At 39.5% G+C, this 24,215-nt stretch overlaps 1 protein-coding gene and 1 long non-coding RNA gene across 4 annotated transcripts in view; both read left to right on the top strand.

The window, feature by feature from the left end:
- The window catches only part of ASIC2 (acid sensing ion channel subunit 2), a 1,143,682-nt gene that overhangs the window by 43,412 nt on the left and 1,076,055 nt on the right, over positions 1 to 24,215 (top strand). The window lies entirely within an intron of this gene.
- Positions 1,551 to 24,215, top strand: LOC107985036 (uncharacterized). Of its 3 annotated transcripts, XR_001752835.1 has the most exons (8): positions 1,551 to 1,711; positions 11,832 to 11,923; positions 13,270 to 13,339; positions 14,677 to 14,806; positions 15,264 to 15,371; positions 15,789 to 15,899; positions 19,324 to 19,416; positions 24,107 to 24,215. It is a non-coding gene; the product is annotated as an uncharacterized LOC107985036 (long non-coding RNA). The 3 variants fall into 3 exon arrangements; XR_007065718.1 differs by having other exon boundaries at positions 14,707 to 15,371; XR_007065717.1 differs by having other exon boundaries at positions 14,677 to 15,371.

Raw genomic sequence — 24,215 nt, 5'->3', positions numbered from 1 at the left:
ACCCTTGAGCTCAAGCAATCCTCCTGCTTTCACCTCCCAAAGTTCTAGGATTACAGGCATGACTCATTTTATTCTTGACACATACTTGACACTTAGTAATCTCAATAATATTCTCTCTCCACCCCACTCCTCCAGCTTCCTTCGCCCCTCTCTTCGGGCAATGTCTGGAAGCAAAGAGCTCCTCTCCTTGGGGTTGCAGTCTACTCACTCCAGCCAAAGGGTCATCATTCACTGGTCACTTGGGGTTTGTTGCACAGAGCCCAGATGAAGATTCCACAGTGAAGATACTGTGATCAAAATACTGTTGGTTACTTGAAACCCATCAGTGCTTGCTTAGCCCCTGATGAATGTGTTTCATGTCTGATGCCTTCCACTCTTTCTCACTCCCCAATCTACTTGACCCTACTCTTGATTTGGGAAATAGGGACATGATTGACGCAACCCAAGCCTAGAGAGTACAGCTGCTCAGCCATAAGACCATGAAGTAACATTAATAGGTCTCATCCTATTGAGTGTGTCCTGTACTCTTAGCAATATTGAAGCTAGAGAAATCATCCCACAACATCCCACAGACACGAGCTTACAATGTCTTATGGAGTGAGAACGTTCATCCTAAGAGGCTTCAGGGAGCATCACTACCCAGCCTGTAACAAGGCCTTATCTTGTAAATGCCCAGAGGACCAGGGAAGGGTTGGTTTCACATGCTGGCTTCACTGCAGAGCCTAGGGATTAATACATAAGGCATTCCGTGTTGGTGAAGCATTTGATCTGTGGCTGGTTTCAGCTAAGAATTATGTGGTCAAAGAGTGAGTTTCTTGTACTTAGCCATCTCCCTTGGCTGCCCTGTGATACACATGCTTATGTGTGTGGGCTGAAGTTTTCCTTTTTTTTTTTTTTTTGGCCTGTCTTGCGTCTGAAAATCTGCAGAAAACTTTGGAGGTGGTGGAAGCTTGAGAAGGATCATCATTTGTATTTAGTTTGTTAGCTAATACATTTATCAGGGATGTCTTTTTTTGTTATTGAATTTATTATGATGAGTTCAGTATTTGTTGGTACTCTAATGTATTTAACTTGCACTGTGATCCTATGAGGTAAATATTATCACTGTTTTACAAATGAAAAAGACTGAGGCTCAGAGATTATAGGGAAGTTGCTCAGTTTCATAAATTTAGACTGTGGAAGAGATAGCATTCAGATTTTGGTCTCTTCTATTCTGAATATATTATTCTTTCCACTAAGACTAGTGTCTTTCTTCAAATACAACTTTGTAACAATGACTATTTTGGGAAATCACTTTTAGTTACTAATACCTTAAAAAAAAGTCTTTTATATTCCAAGTTCCCATGAGAATTTTTTCCATATGGCTATGCATTTTAATATAGTTATAATCATTATATAGAAATAATTTTGTATTCTATTATCTTGACTTAATATATATGATATGCTTTTCCCAAAATCACTAAATAATCACTAAAATTTATAAGATGGAAAAATAATCCATTGGGTTAAATTCTCATAATTTACTAGAACATTCTTCTATTATGAGCCACTTGTTTTTCTCAGCTTTTGCTATCATAAATAATGCCGCAGTGAAGATGTTCATACATAGAAATCCTTCTCCCAAAGCAGTGTTTTGTAGGAGAAGAAACGGGATTGGAATCAGACTGCATTTGAATGCAGATTCTCCCTTATAATAATGGTGCCATATCAGGTAAGTCACTTAGCCATTGTTCTAATTTCCTCATCAAAAACAATAAGTGTCAAAGGCTTGACTTGCAGAATTAGCAGCAGAATAACGTGCCTAGCTCAGAATAGATAGGCAATAAATTTTAGTTACACTATCCTAATGGGAAAACTCCGTAAGTAGAATGTCAGAGTGCATATACTTTTGAATTTTGACACCTACTGTAACATATCTTTTCAAAAGGGTTAGGACAATTTATGCTGTCACAAGCCATGTATAAAAGTACTGTTTTGCCACAGACCCAGAATCTGTTTTATCATTTTTGGTGCCTGTATATATAATATAACATAATATAATATAATATATATACATTATATTATATAATTATATAATATGTTGTATATAATATATACTATTATATATATGTGTGTATATATATGTTTTTTTGAGATGGAGTCTCGCTATGTTGCCCAGGCTGGAGTGCAATGGCATGATCTCCGCTCACTGCAACTTCTGCCTCCTGGGTTCGAGTGATTCTCCTGCCTCAGCCTCCTGAGTAGCTGGGATTACAGGTGCCTGCCGCCATGCCCAGCTAACTTTTTTGTATTTTTAGTAGAGACAGAGTTTCACTATGTTGGCCAGGCTGGTTTCGAACTCCTGACCTCAAGTGATCCACCAGCCTCGTCCTCCCAAGGTGCTGGGATTACAGGCATGAGCCACCGTGTCTGGCTTGTGCCTATAATTTTGAAAGGGTAACAGGACGGGAATGAAAAGAGCCCTGTGCCCTTTACTAGTGAAGATGCTGGACGATATGATCACAAAAAATGAGTCACAAAGCTTTTGAAAGGCAGAGACTGATTAGGGCCAGCAAGGCTTATAGGTAAGCCATATCTGACTAATCAAATCCCCTTGAACCCAGGGACCGATGGGATATAAAGAATCTATTCTTGACAGGAAACACTATCTGACCTCAGCATGGGTGCTTGGTAGACATTGCAAAGCCTTCCTAACCGATGATTTTTTTTAAGGAGGATGTCATCTAATACGAAGGCTTAACAAGATCCTCTCCCAAATTGGATTTGACATATGCCTGGCACTTGGGCAGCTGAGCCCTCCCTCCCCAGCCAGCCCTCTGCAGCTACAGCCCAGGGCAGCAGGGCTTTGTCCCGCCTGCTGCTGGCACAGCTGCTAATCCCAGGCTAATGATCAATCCTGAGGCAGCGGCAGCAGAGAGGCTGGGAGAGCCAGGGGCAGAGAGAGGGCGAGGAAGAGCTAGGTTTCCTAGGGCAGTCACAGAAGGCAGCCTTCCCAGAGTTGTTCCTGGTTAGGAATTAGGCCAGCGCCCTGGCTCCCTATCCTAATCTGGGCAATACCTTAGAAAGTATTCCAGAAAGAGAGAAAAAAGTGGTTGCTGGGGCTGACTTGATGCCCACGTTTGTTTGTTCAGCCCATAAGCCCACCCTATAAGATAGGCAAGACTGGGGACTCTCTTCTCAGAGCATCTCCTTAAGGTTGTTCTTGATTTTCTTTCACTTTATTTTTATTTTACTTGGGAAAAAGATTGGAGGGAAGGGGTACATCAGAGGTGATTTGTCTTGGATGTTCTATTTATTAGAACTGGATCTGAAAACCTCAAGCCAAAATACGAATTTTAGAAATACTATCCCATACTATCTCATCTCATCTCATCTCATCTCTCTCTCTCTCTTTCTCTCTCACACACACACAAACACACACACACACGCATATACCTAGTCATAAAATCTATACAGTATCACGATAGATAGATAAAGAGAGAGAAAAACTTATTTTCAGTGTTACAATACCTGGACTCATGTCTAATCCATGACTGCTGTGTGATCTTGGGAAAATCATGCCTCCAAATTTTTATTTTTCAGCTTAAAAAATGAGAGTAGAGTATATGAATGAGCAAGTCCTCAATGAGGAAGGCTTAATGGCCAATATACACATGAAAAGATGCAGGTTTATATAACAGTGAGACTCCGTTTAAAAGCTGTCAGATAGCACATGTGGTGGGCATGTGTTTGGGTGTGTGTAACGTTACCAAGTGTTGGAAAGGATATCGATCAAGAGAAATTCTCATTTACGCTTGATGAAAGTATAAACTGGCAAAACTGCATTTTTTTTTTACCCATATCAGTGAATGCTTATATGGTAAAGACAGATGATTCTCATATTCTAAGATCTAGGAATTGTACACTTACCTTTGTCTTGGAACATACATGTACGTAGAAGACATGCACAGGACTGTATACTTTTGGCATTGTTTGTACATATGAAAAATCATAAACAACCCAAGTGGCAGCCCAGAAGCAGAATGGAAAACTAGATTTTGGTATATTCCTGCCATAGTATTTTACAGAGCAATGACAATAAATGAACTAGAGCTATACGTATCGTCTACATGCATAATCCTCAAAAAACAAAGAGTTAAACAGAAAACAAAATAATAAGTTACAGAAGTTGCCAGAAAAGATAAGAAAAGACGCAACTAACTACATGTTGCTCACAAGAAATCCACTTTAATAGGTTAACACATAGGTTGAAAATAGACAAAATACCCTAAAACTTAAAGTATAATAATAATAAAATAAAATAAAAATAAAATAAAATAAAATAAATCAACAAATAAAAAAAGAAAATAGACAAAATATGTTGAAAGTAAAAAGATAAGATATTCCATGCAAACACCACTAACCATAACCAAGATATAGGGGGTAAAATAACATTAGACAAAATAAATTTCAAGATAAAGAGTATTATGGATAAGAAAAATAGCATATTTTAACATATAAGGGTCAATAAGTGAGGAAGACATAACAATTATAAATGGATATGCACTTAACAGAGTTTCAAAATATAACGAAGAAAAAAATAACAGAACTAAAATCAAAATAGACATATCTGCTATTAGAGTTGATTTTAACACTCTTCTTAGTCATTGATAAAACAGTTACACAAAGAATCAACAATGATATGAAATATATGAATGACACAGTAAACTGCTTGGACCTAATTGGCACTTATAGAACACTAAACCCAATAACTGCAAAATGTTTTCAAATGTACGAGGAGTGTTCACCACGATACACCATATAACGTAAATATCATAAACAAGTCATAGTAAACTTCAAAAGTTTGAAATCTTATAGGGTAATAGGGTAAGTTATATGACAGTGGCATAATTACATTTGAAACCAATAAAAGTAAATATTTTGAAATTAAACTATACATTTATAAACTATAGTTCAAATAAGAAATCACAAGGAAAAATTATAAAATATTTCAATCTAAATGATAAAGACAATTTATCATATCACAATTTGTGAGAGCCACATCTAGGAGCACCTACAACTATATAAAAAAATGCATGAACAGGATATTTATTGTGGCAATATTTGAGATTTCAAAAAATTGGAACTTCCAGAAAGTTTCAGCAGAGCAGTTTTGTTGAATAAACTATGGCACAGTCACTCAATGGAGTATTATGTAGTTGTTGAAAATAAGTAAGGAAGATCCTTGTGAACTGATACAAAATGATTTCAAAGAGATGTTTATAAGTAAAAAAAAGCGAGATACAAATGAGCATGTGTAAGAAAAAGGGTAAGTAAGGAAATAGCCACATATCTGCTTATCATTACATAAAGAACATAAGAAGGATAAACTGGAAAATAGTGAAATTGGATACCTACAAAGTGTGAGGCGAGGTGGGATGGAAAAGTATGAGAAAGAGTGACACTTTTCTAATTACGTATTTTCAAATATTTGACTTTCGGATGCATGCTAATAATAAAATGTCAGTATAACCCCCAAATTAAATTAAAGCCGAAAAATGTAAAGGAGAGAACCCTAAAACTGAAAGCAAACTGACAAATGAACCTAATTATATTTCAAATTAATACCATAACTAGCTGGAAGGGAATAAAGAACAAACTATTTTGAGTACCTTATGAACACAACTTGTGACTACCTTTAGTTTTGGTCAGATTGGACTTGTGGTGGGGGAGAATTGAAAATAATTGATAAACTCCTTTTAGTAGGTTTGCCTATCATAGTGTTTGAGTGAAGCAATTCTGAATGTACTTTAAGATACTGTAGAACTGAACAAAAGAGTAAATGGTTTTGTTTTGCTTTGTTCTGTTTGAGACAGGATCTTACTCTGTCACTCATGCTGGGGTACAGTGGCGTGATCACAGCTTATTGCAGCCTCCACCTCCCAGGCTTAGGTGATCTTCTTCCCTCAGCAACCCAAGTAGCTGGGACTATAGGCGATCACCACCACCCCTAGCTAATTTTTTATTTTTTTATTTTTAGTTGAGATGGGGTTTTGCCATGTTTTCCAGGCTGGTCTGAAACTCCAGGACTCAAGTGATCTGCCTGCCTTGGCCTCCCAAAGTGCTGGGATTACAGCTGTGAGCCACTGTGCCAAGCCAAAAGAGTAGATGTGTAAATGATACCGAGGGTCAAAGTTCTCATTGTGAAAGAAGGTATACAAACATACTATGGGACAGGAGAAGTCACAAAATAATCCTGAGGATGGATTGGAACTGGAGATATCTCTAAATATGTACATATATGTGTGTATATATGTTTAAGTGAACATATATGTATGCACCTGCATGTATGCATATCTAGGTTTGCGCATATGTATATTTATGTAAATATGCATGTACATATATATGTCCATGCATGTATTTCTTAGCTCTGTTTGCTAAAGAGCCAAGAAGCAAATATACTCCTGGAATAATAAGTATAAATAGCACCCATAATTTTGTCTCTACTACCATTTCTCAATTAAAGAAACTAGGACTTTTCATATTCCAGGGCTGGAACTGGGGTAAAAGATGAACCTGGAATATCTCACTATGTAGGAAAATAAGAAAGTGCTTTAAAACATGGTGGGAGGATGTCACAGGGACACAGGAACTAGCTTTAAGGAGTTCTCACTGACCAAATTTCTAAAAATTTGAACGCCAAAATGATTAAGGATAGTAATGAATGATAAATCATGGAAAAATAGAAATGCATGAATCAATATCCATATTAGATTCATTAGGTAGGTAGACACATTTATTGAGTATATAGATTAGATAGATGGATAGATAGATATGATTGATAAATAGGTGCATACATACATACATGCAGACATACAGGAGAGGGGAGGTTTCTTCCTGGCATTAGAATGCTGAGGGCCAACTAATCAATATGGAAGGAGTGCTGGAGCTTGGAAATCATCATTTTGTGATCATCGTAGTAAAAATGGGTAAAAATAATCAATGGATACTGAATCTAGGGAGGGGTATTTTGATGAGAGAAAGATACTTCATATACTGACTGTCAGTTAAAAGAGAAATATCAATAACTATATTTTCAAAAAATTGGCAACACCTTGAACAAATGATCAAATTAACATCACCAATGAGGGAAGATGGACATTGTGTATCTCCAATTGTGATATCCTAAGATAGTGTGTGACCTGAACCTAATCACAAGGAAACATTAGACAACCCAAAATGAATAACTTTCTATTAAATGGTAGTAGGGCTGTATTTTTCAAAAATGTTATTGTCATAAAAGATAAGGAAAGACTGTGGAAACATTCGAGACTATTTAAGGCTAAAGAAACTTGACAACTAGATAGGATCCTGTGCTACAGGAGAAAAAGACATTATAAGAGGCATTTTTAGGTTAAATGACAAAATTACAATATGGATGGTATACTAGATTGAAGTATAACATAAATGTAAATGTATGAATTTAATAATTGCAGTGGTTATGTAAGAAAGTACTCCTACTCTTGGGAAACACATTGAATTATTTAGTGATAAATGTCTACAATATATATAAATCACCTTCAGATGTTTCAGAAAATACACCCACACATATACATAGTAAGAACGAGCAAGAGAGAACTTGAAATGTCAAGAAATATTAACAGAGGTGAATCTGTACAAAGAATATTTTAGTGTCCTTTTTATTTTTTTAATAACTGTCATTATTTTTTGTAATTATTAACTAGTATCCAAACAAGCAAGGGATGAAGCTAATTCAGTGCTTAGAGGAAACAAATGTTAAGTTTGAATGTTTATATTAGGAAGAAAGGTATAAATTAATGATCTAAGTTTCTGCCAATAAAGACCAAAAATAAAAACAAGCAAAAAAAAAAAAAAAGGTAGATGAAAGGAAATAATAAAGATAACAGCAGAAATTTTTAAAAATTAAAAATAGAAAACCAAGAAATCCAGAAATTGCTTTTGGAAAGATTAATACATTTGATAAACTTCTAGCTAGACCAAAAAACAAAAACAGGAAAAACACAAGTTATCTATAGTATAATAACATGAATTAAGAAATGAATATCATTATAAATCCTACAGATGTTAAAAGGATAAAAAGAAAATACTATTTAAAAAATCATGCAAGAAAATGCTACAATTCAGATGAAATGAGCAAACGCCTTGAGTCAACTGACCAACTGCCCATGAAACTAAAACTAACACAAGATGATATAGAAATTCTGAATAACTATACCCATGAAAAAAATTGAATTTTTAAATCAAAACATTTCAACAAATAAACTCTTGGTTCCAGTGCCTTCACAGGTGAATTCTAGCAAACATTCAGGGAGGAAGTAGTACCATCTTTTACAACCTCTTCCAGAAAATAGAGGAGGAAAATACATGTTTTAACATCTTAACCCATTTTATGAATTGATTTTTGATATCAAACCATGACAAAGACATTAAAAGGGAAGAAAATATTCTTCATTAACATAGATGCAAGAATCTGTAGCAAAATATTTTTCAGAAATATATAAAAAGAATATTATAACCAATTAAATTTTATCTCAGGAATACAAGTTTGGTTCAACATTTAAAAATTAATCAATGTAATCTGGTTAATTAATATATTAAAGTTAAAAACATATATGATCATCTTAATAGATGGAGAAAAGGCATTTAACAATATCCAGCACTCATTAATGACAGTAATTCTCAGCAAATTGGAATAGCCATCCTCTAACAAACTAGAATCCCAATTCTGATAGAGAGCATGTGCAAGAGTCTATTGTTAATTCTTGATGGGGAAGCCCTGAATGCTTTTCCCCTAAGATCAGAAAAAAAAGGCCAGAATGCTGAATCTTCTATTCAATATTGTATGAAGGCTCTAGCTTGTTCAATAATGCGAGGAAAACTAAAAGCATAAAGACTCAAAAGGAAGAATTTGTTTCTATAAACAAAAGTTTTATTTAATTAATTCAAACTCACAGATAGTATTCAATTTTATAAGAAAAGCCTGAGGAATGAACAAAGAAAACTCCTAGAACGATTTACATAAACTTAACAATATCTCAGACTATAAGATACATACGGAAAATCAGTTGTATTTCTATATATTGGCAGAAAGCAATAGAAAATAAAATTAAAATTTTATTCACAATTTTATAAAAATGTAAAATGCTTGATAAATTTAACAAAAGATATGTAAATCCTCTATATTGAAAACTACAAAATATTGCTGAGAAAAGTTAAAGAGGACATAAATAAATGAAGAGATATACTATATTTGTGGGTTGGAAAATTCAATATTGTTAGGATGTCAAACCTTCCCACAGCGATCCATAGCTCGACATGATTCAAATCAAAACTCCATAAGGCTTTTTAAAAATAGAAATAGATAAAACAATTCTAGAATTTATATGGAAATGCATATGACCTAGAATAGCCTAAACAATCTTGAAAAAGAAAGCTGAAGAACTCAAACTACTTGACTTCAAGACATATGAATATAAAGCTACAGTAATTAAGACAGTTAGATATTGGCATAAAGATAGACACATCAATCACTGCAGCAGACCAGAGAATACATAAATAGATACACATGTTTATGGTGAATTAATTTTTGACAAAAACAGCAAGTCACTCAAAGGAAAAAGGAAAGTATTTTCAACAAATTGTGCTGAAACAACAGGATATCTGTGCAAAAAAAAAGTGAGCCCAATCTCTGACCTCACACCACACACACCACATTTAATTAGAGATGACTGTTCTAAATATAGAAGCTAAAATTATAAGGCTTATTGAAAAAAACAGGGAAATATGTTTACAGGATAACGAAAAATGTTAAGACAAAACTCTGAAAACTCTGAAATAAAATAAAAAATAAATGATAAATTAGACTTCATAAAAATTGAAACAAGCCAGGCATGGTGGCTCATGCCTGTAATTCCAGCACTTTGGGAGGCTGAAGCAAGAGGATTGTTTGAGCACAGGAATTTGAGACCAGCCTGGGCAACATAATGAGACCCCATCTCTGCAAATATAAAAATAAATAAAAAATTGGCCAGGCATTGTGGCACATGCCTGTGGTCCCAGCTACTTGGGAGGCTGAGGTGGGAGCGTGGCTCAAGCCTGGGAGATTGAGGCTACGTTGAGGCATGATAGTGCCACGGCATTTCAACCTGGGTGACTAAATGAGACTGTCCCCCCTCCCACTCCCCTGCAAAAAATCAAAAGAAACAAAAACTCTGATCAACAAAATATATCATTGTTATAGAAAATAAATAGACTTAAGAAAATATTTTCAAAGCATATTTCTGACAGAAGACTGCTATTCAGAATGTGTAAAGAACTCTTTCAACTCAACAATAAAATGACAATTTAATAAAAGTAAGCAAAAGTCTTGAACAATGAAATATCAGCTCACAACAATGGTTGGGGAGTATGTAGAGCAAATGAAATGCCTGTCCATTACTGGAGAAAATGTAAAATAGCACAACCACTTTGGTAATTTCTTAAACCGTTAAGAGGAACACTCCTTAATCCAAGAGAAATGCAAACAAATACCTACAAAAAGTACCGTATGAAAATGTTTATAGCAACTTTATTCACAATTACCAAGAACTGGAAACAGCCCCAATACTCATGAATGGGAAAATGAATACAAAATTGTGCTATATTCCTGCAGTGTGATACTACTTAGCAGTAGAAAGTAAGCATCTATTGATACATGGAATAACATGGGTAAATCTCAGAGACAGTGCTGAACCCCCTCTCCCAAAAGGAACACAAAAGGCTATATGCCATATGATTCTATTTATATGAGGTTATAGAATGGGAAAATGTAATCTGAGGTGAGAAGGCCAAAATGATGGTTTTCTGGGGTGTGAGGTGGCAGGAGGGGAAGAGGAGTTTCAGCAAAGGAGGAAATTTTCTGTAGATATGAGTGTTCTGTATCTTGATATGGCTAGAGATACATGATGCATCCACTTTTTATTTTTATCTTTATATTTTATTTTATTTTTATTTATTTATTTATTTTTTAGACGGAGTCTCACTCTGTCACCTAGGCTGGAGTGCAGTGGGGCGATCTCAGCTCACTGCAACCTCTGCCTCCTGGGATCAGGCGATTCTAGTGCCTCAGCCTCCCGAGTAGCTGGGGTTGCAGGCACCCACCACCACACCCGGTTAATTTTTGTATATTTAGTAGAGACAGGGTTTCACCATGTTGGCCAGGCTAGTCTCAAAGTTGGCCAGGCTAGTCTCGAACTCCTGACCTCAGTGATCCACCTGCCTCAGCCTCCCATATTGTTGGGATTACAGGCATGAACCACCACACCTGGCTGTATCTACTTTTTTTTTAAGCATACAGTTATTGTTTATGCATTTAGGTGTTTATAAAATGTAAAAGTAGAACTGTAAGCTATAATTATTGATTGATGGGAGGTAGGGTATGGTGATGGCATAGGTAAATCAAGAATGGCTGAATGTCGACAATTGTTGGAGCCAGGTGATACATAGGAGTTGATTAGACTATTCTGTTTACTTGCAGACGTTTGAATTTTTCCGTAATAAAATGCATTCCTTAGAAAAAGCAAGCGACAGGATATATACAATGTGGTATCATCTATATAAAGTTTGAAAACACGTACGGAGACTTACATATTGTTTATAGGCATACACTTGTATAATAAATGTTAACAAAAATAATCATGGAAATCATAAACACCGGATTTGAGATTGGTGGTTCCTACTGGATGGTGCAAAAGGAGAGATTCACAGGCCTTTAAAATCTTTTAAATAAAATATATTATTAAATCATTAAATTATCCTCTGTACATTCTTAGGCTGGCATATTTCATTAAAAGCGTGGGAACCCTCAGTGACCCTGGGTACTCACTTGACGTTGAGAGTTGAGCCGTGTGTTTGTTACCTTCAGGTAAGCACTTGACGAAGTGGTAAGCAGAAAAAGTACTGTGTGAACTGGAAAGCGTAACCAAATACAGACTTTTGGGGAAAAACAGAGGGGCTTCCAGATCTCTAAAGGTCTGAGTACTGTTTTGGCAACACTACATTACTAGTGGGTGGGCCCCTTGAAGGAGGGACTGAGCCTTGTATATGTATGTGTCTCTGGTACTTAAAACAATACCGGATACATTTGGGATGCTCAACAGCCATTTACAGAGTCGAGGAATAGATCTCCATGCCCATGCTTATAAACAGCTGGGCGGGGGAACATTTAGGAAATGCTAGGATGGTTTTAATAAGTAGTAACAAGAGCTGATGTGAATTATATTTCAGGCATTTTATAAGGACTTTTGTCAGAATTAACTCATTTTATCCTAACAGAAACTCTATGAAGTAGGTTCTATTATTATCAACCCCCTTTTACAGCTGATAAAACTGAGGGACAAAGAAGTTAAATTATTTATTCAACATCACACAATGAGTGCTAGAAGGCAAGGGATTTGTCCCCATAGCCCTTATATTTCACTACAAAACTCCATGGCTTCCTATGATCAAGTAAGTTTGGATATGAGCCCAGGAAGTGGGGAGTAGCTCTGGTTCCCCAGGTGATATTGAGATACCTGGGAACAGAAGAAAGCCCAGCAGAATTCACTTAAAGGGAAGAGATTTCAAGTTGAAGGGAGACGCAGTAGGAGGAGACAACCAGGGGACAGATGGTCTTGGTTCCTGGGAGCCCTCAGCCCTCTCAGGGATGGATGGCCCTTTGGATGAGATCCATGTCTTCTGTGAGTCCTGTGTTCCCTTCTGCATTGAGGTGTCTCTTCAAAGCTCTCAGCCATCCTGGAGGGCCGGACGCTCTTCTGGGCTGAGGTTGACAAAGTCTGAAGATAATTGCTCTGGATAAATAGAGCCTGCCCTGCTCCAGTTGCCAAGCGGAATGAATACAATGTGTTTTAATAATGAATGAGTGATTAATAGCAACTGCTTTGGAGAATTATGATGTGACGAGCCTTACCGTGCCATGGAGCTGGGTATAAATGATGCTGGAATGCATAATCGGGACGTTAGCATCTGTTAACAAACTGCATTATAAACCAGGCTCCATGATGCCGCTTATCCACACCTCCCTGACATGTTATTATAACACTTCTCTTGCGAATGGATTGAGGGGGAAATATAGTGCCTATGAATCACCAATTGATTTAAAAAAAAAAAAAAAACAAGAAAGAGAGGAAGAATGTTAAATTAAGGTAATGTTACACATGGCTTCTCCCTTTCCTGATACTGTTTTCAATCCTGCTCTTTGGTGGTCTGCAGGGACAATGTGTTTGCGGTTCCTGGGGTGAGAGAATGTGGCCTGGTCAGAGGAGATCACCTTGCAAAGCAGGTAGAAAGTGTCTGGGAACTTGGATCCATTAGCAAATATCATGGGAATTCCCTTTGCTTTCCCAATAAAATCCAGACCTCTCACTAGGCATGTCCCTGTGATTTGGCCCCTGTATGACCTGCCAGTCACACATACCATGTATTCTACCTTCCAGTGTTCATTCCAAGTCACAATGAACTATTTGCAGCCTTCGGAATACTATGAGATTCTCTTTTCTTTCTTTCTTTCTTTCTTTCTTTCTTTCTTTCTTTCTTTCTTTCTTTCTTTCTTTCTTTCTTTCTTTCCTTCTTTCCTTCTTTCTTTCTTTCTTTTTTCCTTTCTTTCTTCTCTTTCTTTTCTTTCTTTCTTTCTTTCCTTCCTTCCTTCCTCTCTTTTCTTTCTTTCTTTTTCTTTTTCTTTCTTTCCTCTTTCTCTCTTTTTTCTCTTTCTTTCCTTCCTTCTTTCCTCCCTCCCTCTCTTCCTTCCTTCCCTTCTTTCTTTCCTTTCTTTCTTTCTTTTTCTTTCTCTTCTTTCCTCTTTCCTTCTTTTCCCTCCTTCCTTCCTTTCTCTCTCTTTCTTTCTTTTCTTTCTTTCTCTTTCTTTTCTTCTTTCTTTCATTCTTTCTTTCCTTCCTTCCTCTCTTTTTTCCTCTTTCTCTTTTTTCTTTCTTTCCTTCCTTCCTTCTTTCCTCCCTCCCTCTCTTCCCTCCCTTCTTTCTTTCCTTTCTTTCTTTCTCTTTCTTTCTTCCTTCCTTTCTTTTCTTTCCTCTTTCTTTCTTTTCCCTCCTTCCTTCCTTTCTCTCTTTCTTTTTTCTTTCTTTTCTTTCCTTTCTTTCTTTCTTTCTTTCTTTCTTTCTTTCTTTCTTTCTTTCTTTCTCTCTCTCTCTCTCTCTGTCTCTCTCTCTCTCTCTCTCTCTCTCTCTCTCTCTCTCTCTCTTTTCTCTCTTAATGTAGCTGCTGCTCTTTCTAGAGCATCGCCCTCTTTCCTCTAGCAGGCTAATCTATTGCTCATCCTCCAGAGTCCTCTAAATCCCTGTTGAATGTCACCTCCCCCACCAAACTTGCCTGCTTTTCCTCACCTTGTTCCTGCCATCAGAGCATGTATCACACAGTATCACGGGGCATCACACGGTATGGAAATCACTTATTAGTCATCTCCTCTGTCAACTGAGAACCCTTAGAGTTTGTCTTACCCAACCGTGCATTCCCAGAAATCACTTCTGGATGGGTATAGGGTAGAGGTTTCATAAGAGAAAAAAATGAGTGTTCAGATGATGCAAGCCAAACTTCCAGTCGCCTTTAGTGTGGTTCATATACAGTCTCACCCTAATGATGCTAATTCTTTCTATCTACACACAGTTACGGAAAGCCTCCTATGTTTTCTTTGAGGTGTTGCAGATAGAGCAGTGATCAAAGCAGTCTGAGCCTTTGCTTTTGTGGAGCTGACATTTTGTTAGGGGATTTTTCTGGGAAAAAGCATCACCAGCCTGTGAGTAACTTGTCTCCCAGGGCCCTTCCCTGAGCACATTCGCCCTCATTTTTCAGATTCAACTCAAGTGCTGTAATCTTTAGAAAACCTTCCATCCCTGTTCTGGGCAAAGCTATAGTATTTCCCTGATTCTAAGATGTGCACTTTCCCATATTTTACTGTTGCTGTTGTTTTTCAATTGGGAATTTAAAATTTTGATGTCTGAACTGTGGTGTGTTCACTTGATGTCATCAAGTTTCCTTTTTCTGCAAGCTGTTAAGTCAGTAGGTGCCTTATTGTCAAGATGTCTCTTGGTTAGGAAAATAAGTGAGTACCTAGGGGCTGTGCTTCCATGCGCTTTGTCTGCACAGTGACAGGCTGCTCACCTCATTGTGTCTGGTCACATATCTTTCTCCCTCGCTGGACTGTGAATTCCTCAGGGGCAACCATGTCTAATTCAACCATGATTTTTCTTCAGCTCCAAACCCGCCCCTGACACCCAGTAAACACTTGCTTCTCTTGGGGACAAAAGCAATGCATGACAAAATGGAGTAAAGCTCTCCTGCTCTCCACATGATCAGATCTGGTAACTTCTATTTCCTATGTATCCTTTGAAATTTACCTCCAGAACTACTCCCATAGTGGGCAGCCGAGCAAAGGTCCACCACATATTGGTGGAGTGGTCTGCCATGTTAATTCTGGGGCCTCAGATTCCTGACCTGTAAAATGGAACTGAAAATGCCCACCTCATGCAGTTTGGGGGAGGGTAAAGTGAGATACACAGTATTAATTTCTTAGGGCTGCCATAATAAAGCATAGTTGGGCCTCTGTATCCATGAGTTCCACATCATGGATTCCATATCTGTGGATTCAACCAACTATGATAAAAAATATCTTTAAAAAACCACAAAAAAACTAGTGATATAACAATTAGAAGTACAAATTTAAAAATAACTCCAATCTCTGCCTTGTCTTCACATGACCATTTTTTCTCTCTCACAAGAACATCAGCCCTATTGAAATGGAGCCCATCCTACTCCAGTGTGACCTCACTTTAGCTTGACTGCAATGACTGATCTGCAATGACCTTATTTCCAAATAGGATCATTCTGAGGTTTGTGATTTCAACCTGTCTGTTTTGGGGGACTCTATTCAACCCACAACATGTAGAGAATGTGCTAGTAAATAATCCATCTTCTTCTCTCCCACCCCCTCCACTCCTATTTATGCCAACCCAAACTACTCTTCCTGCATCCTACTTCTTGTCTGTGCCTCTCTGATGTATATTGCTAGGTGTCTTTTTAAGAACGTATGCCCTCCTTTTCTAACTAGTTGGAAGCTTTGTGAAGGTAAAGAGGTAAAAGCATCCTTATAGCGTCTAAAAGACTGCTTGGCATATCCTGAGGCCTCAATATGTGCTAATGGATTGGGTAATAACAAAGGAGCAGAAAATATTGATCACATTTTCTTCCATGCTGTCCTTCTCTCTAAAGTCCTTCCTCTGTGTGCTTAGAGAGTATTATTATTCTTATTTAAACTAGCCTCATCTTGTATGAGCTTCTAAGTAAAAATGAGTTTAGAGAGTTTGCATAAGGTCTGTAGTCATTTCTTTCCACCTTGAGGACCACTACCCTGTTGGAGGCCACCATGATCTCTCACTTGGGCAGCTGCCATAGTCCTATCTACTTTTTTTTTTTTTTTTTTTTTTTTTTTTTGAGATGGAGTCTCACCCTGTCACCCAGGCTGGAGTGCAGTGGCATGATCTCGGCTCACTGCAAGCTCCGCCTCCCAGGTTCACACCATTCTCCTGCCTCAGCCTCCCAAGTAGCTGGGACTACAGGCGCCTGCCACCCTGCCCGGCTAACTTCTTTGTATTTTTTTAGTAGAGACGGGGTTTCACCGTGTTAGCCAGGATGGTCATGATCTCCTGACCTCGTGATCCGCCTGCCTGGGCCTCCCAAAGTGCTGGCATTACAGCCACCATGCCCGGCCAATCCTGCCTCCTTTTAAATCCATTCTCTGCACTATGATCAATGGGATTTTTCCATAACACTAAAATCATGGCATCATCTCTGTGGCTTTGCCATTGCTCTCTGGTTAAAATCCAGGCACCTTTGATGTCATAATTATCTGCATGATCTGGCCCCTCCCACCTTATGCCTTACCCCTCCTGACTTCTAACTCAAGACTTAACAGCCATATGAGCTTCTTGTGGTTACTTTAATGGATCCTGAACTCTCACCTTATAACCTTTAACTCATGCTATACCTGATGTCCTTTCTCCTCCAGTCTTCTCCTCCTTTCCAGGGCTAACTCCTCCATATCCTTCAAGTTACGGCTTAGAAATCACTTCCTCTGAGAGGCCTTCAAGATCTACCAAGATTGATTCAAATACCCTTCTGTGTGTTTGTTAGGGCTGGAGGGTGTACAGTGCCTGGTACTATGCCCGAGGCACAATCATTACTGGATAAATATTTGTCAAAGGTTGAATGGATGTTGTTGAAAGAGGTTGAGACATGAAGTCAGAAAGCTACGGTTAGAATTCTGTATTTTCAATTTATTTGATTTTGATCTTGGGAAAGTTATCTACTTTTTCTGAGCTTTAGTTTGCTCATCTGTAAAATGAGTATAGTAATACAAATTGGTTTCAGGGTTGATTGAAATAATATAGGCAAGGAACCTAGTACAGTGCCACATAGTAGGTGTTTATAAAATATCAGTTTCCTTTCTCTCCTCCAACCCTTCACTTTCTGTCTATGAACCCTCCCCATCTCTAACTGCCTTCCCCTACATTATCTGTGCTGCTTTTAAAACTATATATATATATATAAAATTATATATATATCTCTCTATATATAAAATTATATATCTCTATATAAAATTATATATATCTCTCTCTCTATATATATATAAAATTATATATATATATATATATATAAAATTATATATATATATATATATATAAAATTTGCCTGCTTCTCCCCAACTCTTCCCTTGGCTGGTTCCTACCAATCTCATTTTTTCATGATTAAAATAAAGCATCATGGAAAATTAATTAATATTTGGAGATGAAAGATGCAGCATTGCCAGTCCTGGCTCTCCACTGAGTGCAAACCACTTACAATAAAACCCACCAGCTTGTCTATTAAGGAGAAAAAGAATTTATTTATCAACCCTTTCATATTGTAGCCACCAGCCTGTCTTTGATGGCACTGCCAGCTTTATACCTCAGGTGCCTGGAAAAAGGCCAAGAGTAGTCTTGTTCTGAAGAGACTGACAGCATGAGCTCCCTTAGTCCGAGCCAGGCTGATCCACTGTGCCCACCTGGGGCTCCAGAGCTCTGTTCACCTGGCCACATTTTATCCCCTACCCTCTGATGGTCTCCCAGGGTTTGATTGCTACTGATATATAAAAGCCCTGAAATGGGAGCCAGAGAACAATAGGACTAGAAGAACTCAAGAGATCATCCTGTTTAATGTTTCCATTTTATATATGGAGAAACTGAAGACCCAGGGGTGGGACATGAGTTATGAGTTGCTCAAGGCCATATCCCATGGGCTGCACCTAGGACACTGAACAATCAGATATGCTTTCCTCCAGAAAATTTCCTCGTTGTTCCTAATGCACAATCTTGCTAAATTTCTTGGCATTATATTGAGCTATGGACCTTTGCACATTCCAGCATGAGAATCTCAAAAGGAGGGACTTTATGGTTTTTCATTCCCTGTATTTGTGGAGCCAAGAACAGTGCTTTGCATGCAGTAGGGGTTTAATATTTATGAAATAAATTTACTAATGCATGAATTCATTGACACCATAATTTCCTTGAATGTGCTCTTAGATAAAGGGGATTCAGTGGAGAAATTCCTGTGAGATGGGCTTGGACTCATGGACTTTGGAGATAATTTGCAAGGTTGAGCTAGATAACCTTTTCTTGAGCAATTGCTTCATGATCTCCAAAGTGACTTGTGCTGTGGAACCCAACTGAACACCCTGGGTTTGAATTGCAGCATCCTCACTAACTGTGTAACTGTGTGCCTTGGTTTCCCATGTATCATCCTCATCTGTCCATCATGGATGTTGTAAGAACCACACTGGATCACAATCCATTGAGGAGTCAGCGTCCTGCAGCAGTTAGATGTGCCTGCTTGAGATGCAGCCTGTCTGGCTGTGAGGTCTGAGTTTGAGCACCCTGAGTTGATGTTCTGATTCAGTTAGAAATTGCCATATGAGGCATGTAGTCATGGGCTGTAGTGGACACATAGTAGTTTTCTGTTATCACGTAAGGCTAAATGACCTAGCCAAGGTCTCAGATTAGTAAGGGCCAGTGGAAGGATTGATTGCAACTCCTCTTTATCCATCTCTGTGGTTTTTGTCCTACTGTGACTTGCTATTTGCCCAGAGTGACCCTGGTTTCCCTTGTCTGCATCTCAGTCCCACCCACCTCTCCGCAATCACCAGAATGTTTCTTTATTACTTGTTTGTTCAAGAGCCCTTTATAGTTCGTTCTTCTTCCTCCTGTCAATATCCACTTTCAGGTATGGCTCTACCATCAGGTGCCTCCGTTGTAGCATGTGCGCTGCATTAAAAAGCAACCTGAGCAGACAAAGGGGACTGCTGCCTTCTACAGGGTAAGGGCTCCAGGGGTTCGCCATTAGGAGTACCTCAGGCCAACTAATGGAAAGTAGTTCCCCTCCTGTGCCCCCAAATGACTAGGGGCCCTAGGGTTCATCCTATGTGGGAGAGACTGGATGTCTTTGCCTATCTGAGAAGACCTCACCAAGTGACGGGTGGTCTTAGTTCACACAAAAGGCCCAGAGTCCAGATAAGATTAACTAGAATGGCCAAGGACCCATGGTGGGGGACTGAAGACATCCAGGTAGAGATAATTGCAAGTTAAGTGCATCTGTAATCCTGATCATCTGACATCCCTTCTCCATAGAGCATTAATTCATGCAGTCATCCAGCCAACAAATATTCAAAGTGTATCAGGTCCTATGCCTGAACTGGAGCTACAGCATGAAATAAGTCAGTCCCGATTCTTGCCTTTTGGAGTTTACAGTCTGGTCAGGTGGGAGCCAGGAAGGAGTTGGCACAACCGAGGCAAGTCACATAGGACTTTGTGGGGCTTGACGTGGGTCACTAACCCACCGCTTTTTGTCTGAGGCTGGAGGACAGAAATATGAATCCCTGGGAAAGTTCCCAAAGGCAAAGTCAAGTTGGCAATTCCCAAACCAGTTCAGGGAAACAAGAGACTGCTTAGACCACAGGAGTCTAAGCATGGAGCCCAAACAGAGTGGCTTGGGTGCAGGATGTGGGAAAGGTGTGAGCTAGAAAAGGTGAAGGAGTTAGGAATGGGGCAAAAGGCATTATCTCCTCATATGTGTGTGGACTCAGGCTCGAGAATGTTCCCAGCAGCATTTTGTAAGAGAAAAACTTTGGGAAAATAAAGCTTCTATTACCTATTAACAAGAATGAATAAGTAAATTGTGGTGTTCTGAAATAATAAACGTTTCAGCAGGGAAAAGTAATAAACCAGAGCTGCATATGTCAACACAGATAAATCACACAAACCTAATGTTGAGGGGAAAAAATCAAGCTTCAGACAAATATGCATATTTTATGATACCATTGATATAAAGTTTGAAAACATGCAAAACAATTCGATATGTTGTCCAGGGATAAATAAATACATAATAAAAGTATAAAGTCATTTATGGGAACAGTAAAGCCTAAATTCCAGATCATGATGATTTCTGAAGGATGGGGAGAGTATTGTCATGTAGAGAGCCATGGAGGGCTTCAGCTATATTTCCTAATCTGGGTGGTAGGTGGATGGCTGCCAGTTGTATTGTGATTTATATTTCTCAAATATTGCATAATAAAAGTTATTTTAAAAACTAAAATGAGGCAAATTGTGTGGACTGGGAAAGGAAGAGTCTACTTTCTAGCCTCCCTTTACTGCCTCTAGAAGTCAGGCATCACACGTGAGTCTCTTTCCAAAGCCTTGATCAAAGATGCAAAACAAGGTGGCTCCCATAGGGTGCCTACAGGGCCAGACCAGCTCCCTCTCCCTCCCACTCAGCCCTCCCTTGGCACAACACAATGACATTGGACATGAGGGACAAGGGTGGGACTTAATCACTTCTAATGACTCAGAAGCTATTCTGAACTCTACCAACTTTCTTTCTACAGAGAAAAGTGGCCTTGTGGTTAAAGGAGCTGGAGCCCATCACTACCCCAGCAGTCTGTCCTCTCACTGGTTTAACCAGTACATCTGGCCAATACCACTTTGCCTTCCAGTTGTCCACTGATGAGGCTGTTCCTCCCAGCCCTTTGCCTGAAACCTCTACTGTATTGCCTCTTGATCCTGACACTGGCCCCGGAGCCAAAAGGTTTAACACTTCTGCTCACTGCACATGACCTCATTTTGGGGGTGTACTGGTGTAGACCTGGTGTCCGGGATCCACTACCACCCCTAGAATTTTCTGCCCACAGTTCTTTCCTGGCATCTCTTTTCTTCCCCACTGTTGCCACAGCCACAGTATATCGCTGAGCTGCTTCTAAGCTCCTACCCCCATGGAAGTAGGGAAAGGAAAACCTTAATGTCTTCCCTTTTCATCCATATAAGACATGCACTACTGTAGTCTCTACAGATGAGGAAATTGAGGCCAAAATAAATACCTTGCTCAAGGTCATGTAGCTAATAAAATACAGAACTGGGATTCCAATCTGTATATGAATCTGATTCCAAAGCCTGTACATACTCTTTACACTGTATTAACTGCCTCTTGGAAGTCAACTGACAAGCTCTCAATGACAGCTTCAACTCATTTTCACTTTGATTCAATAGTGCCATGGACTGGTTCGGTGAATGTTCTTAAACCTGTTCTGTTATGTTCTTTCTCTCATTCACTTCTTTTCAAGTGCTTTCCACTTGAGAAAGAAAAGTGGTGGTGGGATCTCACCATCCATCATCTCCCTTCCCTGCAATGACCTGTCACGGAGCACTTTGGGAAAAGTTGTCATGGGCCAGAGCTGCCAGGGATTCTCCCACTCCCCAGTTCCTGGCTGCATAATGGGGAGATGCCGGGTAACCCCTAACTACTGCCACTCAAGTTTGTGGGCACCAGCCCCAAACCTGGGGAACTGCCTCCTACAGGCCCCCTGCCTCAATCATCACTTGCCAGGGACATGGCAGAAATGCCCGAGGCTATTTAGATTTGACTCACTCATCCCCTCTTGTTTTTACATAAACTGCTCCCTCCTGGATGTGGTTATCACATCTTCATAAGGCCTCTAAGAAGTTCCAGACAATTGGATTATGTGAAAAGACAAACTGGAGCACAAAGAGGTTGAGACTTTATCTCAGGTCTGTTTTGAGATTGGCAATGTGGACAAGGGCTGGATGATTAGTTACCAAGGGGGTCTTGATCTTCAGGGACTGGAGTTGGTATCTCATTGAAGAATATTCTTGAATAGAACATTTTAGGATTGAAGGAACTGCAGTCATCTTCAGGTCTACCCTTGGTGGGAAGAACTGAGGCCCAGGTTGGAAGGTACCAGGTAGGCTGATGGAGCAACTCAAGCTTCTGGCCCTAGTCCAGTATTTACATGTCACCCAAATGCCAAGGGAGATGGAAAGACTGCTAGCTCCTCCCAGGTGAGCCTGAAGTTTTCTCCTGGAGCCTTCCAAATCCCACAGGCAGAAGTGGGCATGGATAAGGAATAAAAGCGGAAGAGGTGGGGACTGGGTAGCCAAGACCCCTCCTATTTGGAGAGCCCATAGTCTCTCTGGCTGAGTACTTTTGGGGTCCCAGCCCAGAATGGGGAGTGTGGATGTGGGGAGTGGCCCATTACTGAGGGTCTATAGGAAGTTGCCAGAGTTTAGCAGATGGATGGTGTCTTAGTCCACCTTAAGTACTCTTTTTCCTTCTTGGGTTGAGTTACCTTATGAAGAAACCAAATGCTAATTCCTCCAAGGTATGTGCTAGACAGACCTGTGAAGGTAGCTTTTCCAGATGGAGGGAAGGCTGAATAATTGGTTCCAACTCTACACTTTTGAGTTCCTCAAACTGCCCCACCCCCAACCCCAGCCCCCTGTACCACAACCGGCATGGTTGTCAGAAGGTCTGATTCTTACTCCAGTGCACTTCCCATTAAACCCTGTAGCCTATCACCCATCAGAACACCAGGTCTGCAGCTGACTTACTCAGTAACCTTGGAAAAGTTCCTTCATTTATAAATACAATAGGCACTGTGCTTCTCAACTTGTTCTCTCCTACAGGCATTTGGGAATGTGTGGGCACATGTTTGGCTGTCCCTGGGATTTATTTTCAGGGAAGAAGGACAAGGATGCTTAAGTCTCCTTGCCATACAAGGGAGCTCCACACAAAGAGAAACCACATCCCCCTAGCCCTCCACCTAAAATGTCAGTAGAGCTCTCATTGAATAGCACTGGTGGACTCTGTGAAGACCCTTCCAGCTGTGACTCATCTGTCAGGCCTAGTGCTGTGAAGCTTCCATCAGACTGTGGTGTGATCTGTATGCCAGTGATGTGATGAGGCTCCGGTCAGAGGCCCAAGGTGTGAGGTTAGTAAGTTCAGAACATTGTCCTGCAGGAACCAAGACAGCTGGGAATGAGCTGACTGAGGAGCTGTTTGGTATTAAGGGATGAATAAATTAACACTGCTGCCACGACTGCTGGGCTGTCTGAAACAGTGGCACAGAGAGTGATCTGGACCATCGCCCTGGAGCTGTTAGAAAAAGGCAGGTGGAGGTCACAAGGAATCTGAGAAAGGGGAGAGCAGATTTCAAGAGGTGTAAGATCAGAGTGAGTCTGAGGGGATGAAATGAGTCTTTGAAGAGAGTGATCTTCTCTGCAGCAAATGGGGGCTTGGGGGCTAGGTGACCTGGGGACCTGGGGCCAAGCAGAGAGGTGAGGGAAGTATATTTTAAGGTACAGAATCAATCCTGCATTTGTCCCTTTTAAATTCAGTTCCTTTTTCTAACAAAGCAAGTGGAGTTGGAGTTCACAGGATTGCCAGTCTGAAAAGAGCCTTTGGCTCATCAATTTCCATAGCAGAGGCAGGCAGTATATGAGAACCAGGTAATTACTGAGCCCAGAGAGGCCCAGGGCATGTTTTAACATCTGTACCCACCTGGCTATCACCTTGGTATTTTAAAAGCCCTTGGAATAGAGCAAGGAGTTACTAACAAGGCATTGCATTTTTGATCACCATTTGGCATGTGCATATGTGTCATAGTGTACCCTCTATGAAGGCAAAACTTCTATCTACCCTTGTTAACACTGTATTTCAGCACCTAGGACAGCCTCTGCCTGAGCATTGATGCTTCATAAATATTGGTTGAATTAACAAATAAATGGAGGAGGAGGATGGCGGAATAGGAACAGCTCCAGTCTACAGCT

This window comes from Homo sapiens, chromosome 17 (assembly GCF_000001405.40).
Source record: "Homo sapiens chromosome 17, GRCh38.p14 Primary Assembly".
NCBI lineage: Eukaryota > Metazoa > Chordata > Mammalia > Primates > Hominidae > Homo > Homo sapiens.
Note: the sequence above shows the minus strand (reverse complement) of the source record. Positions and strands in the feature narration are given on the sequence as shown.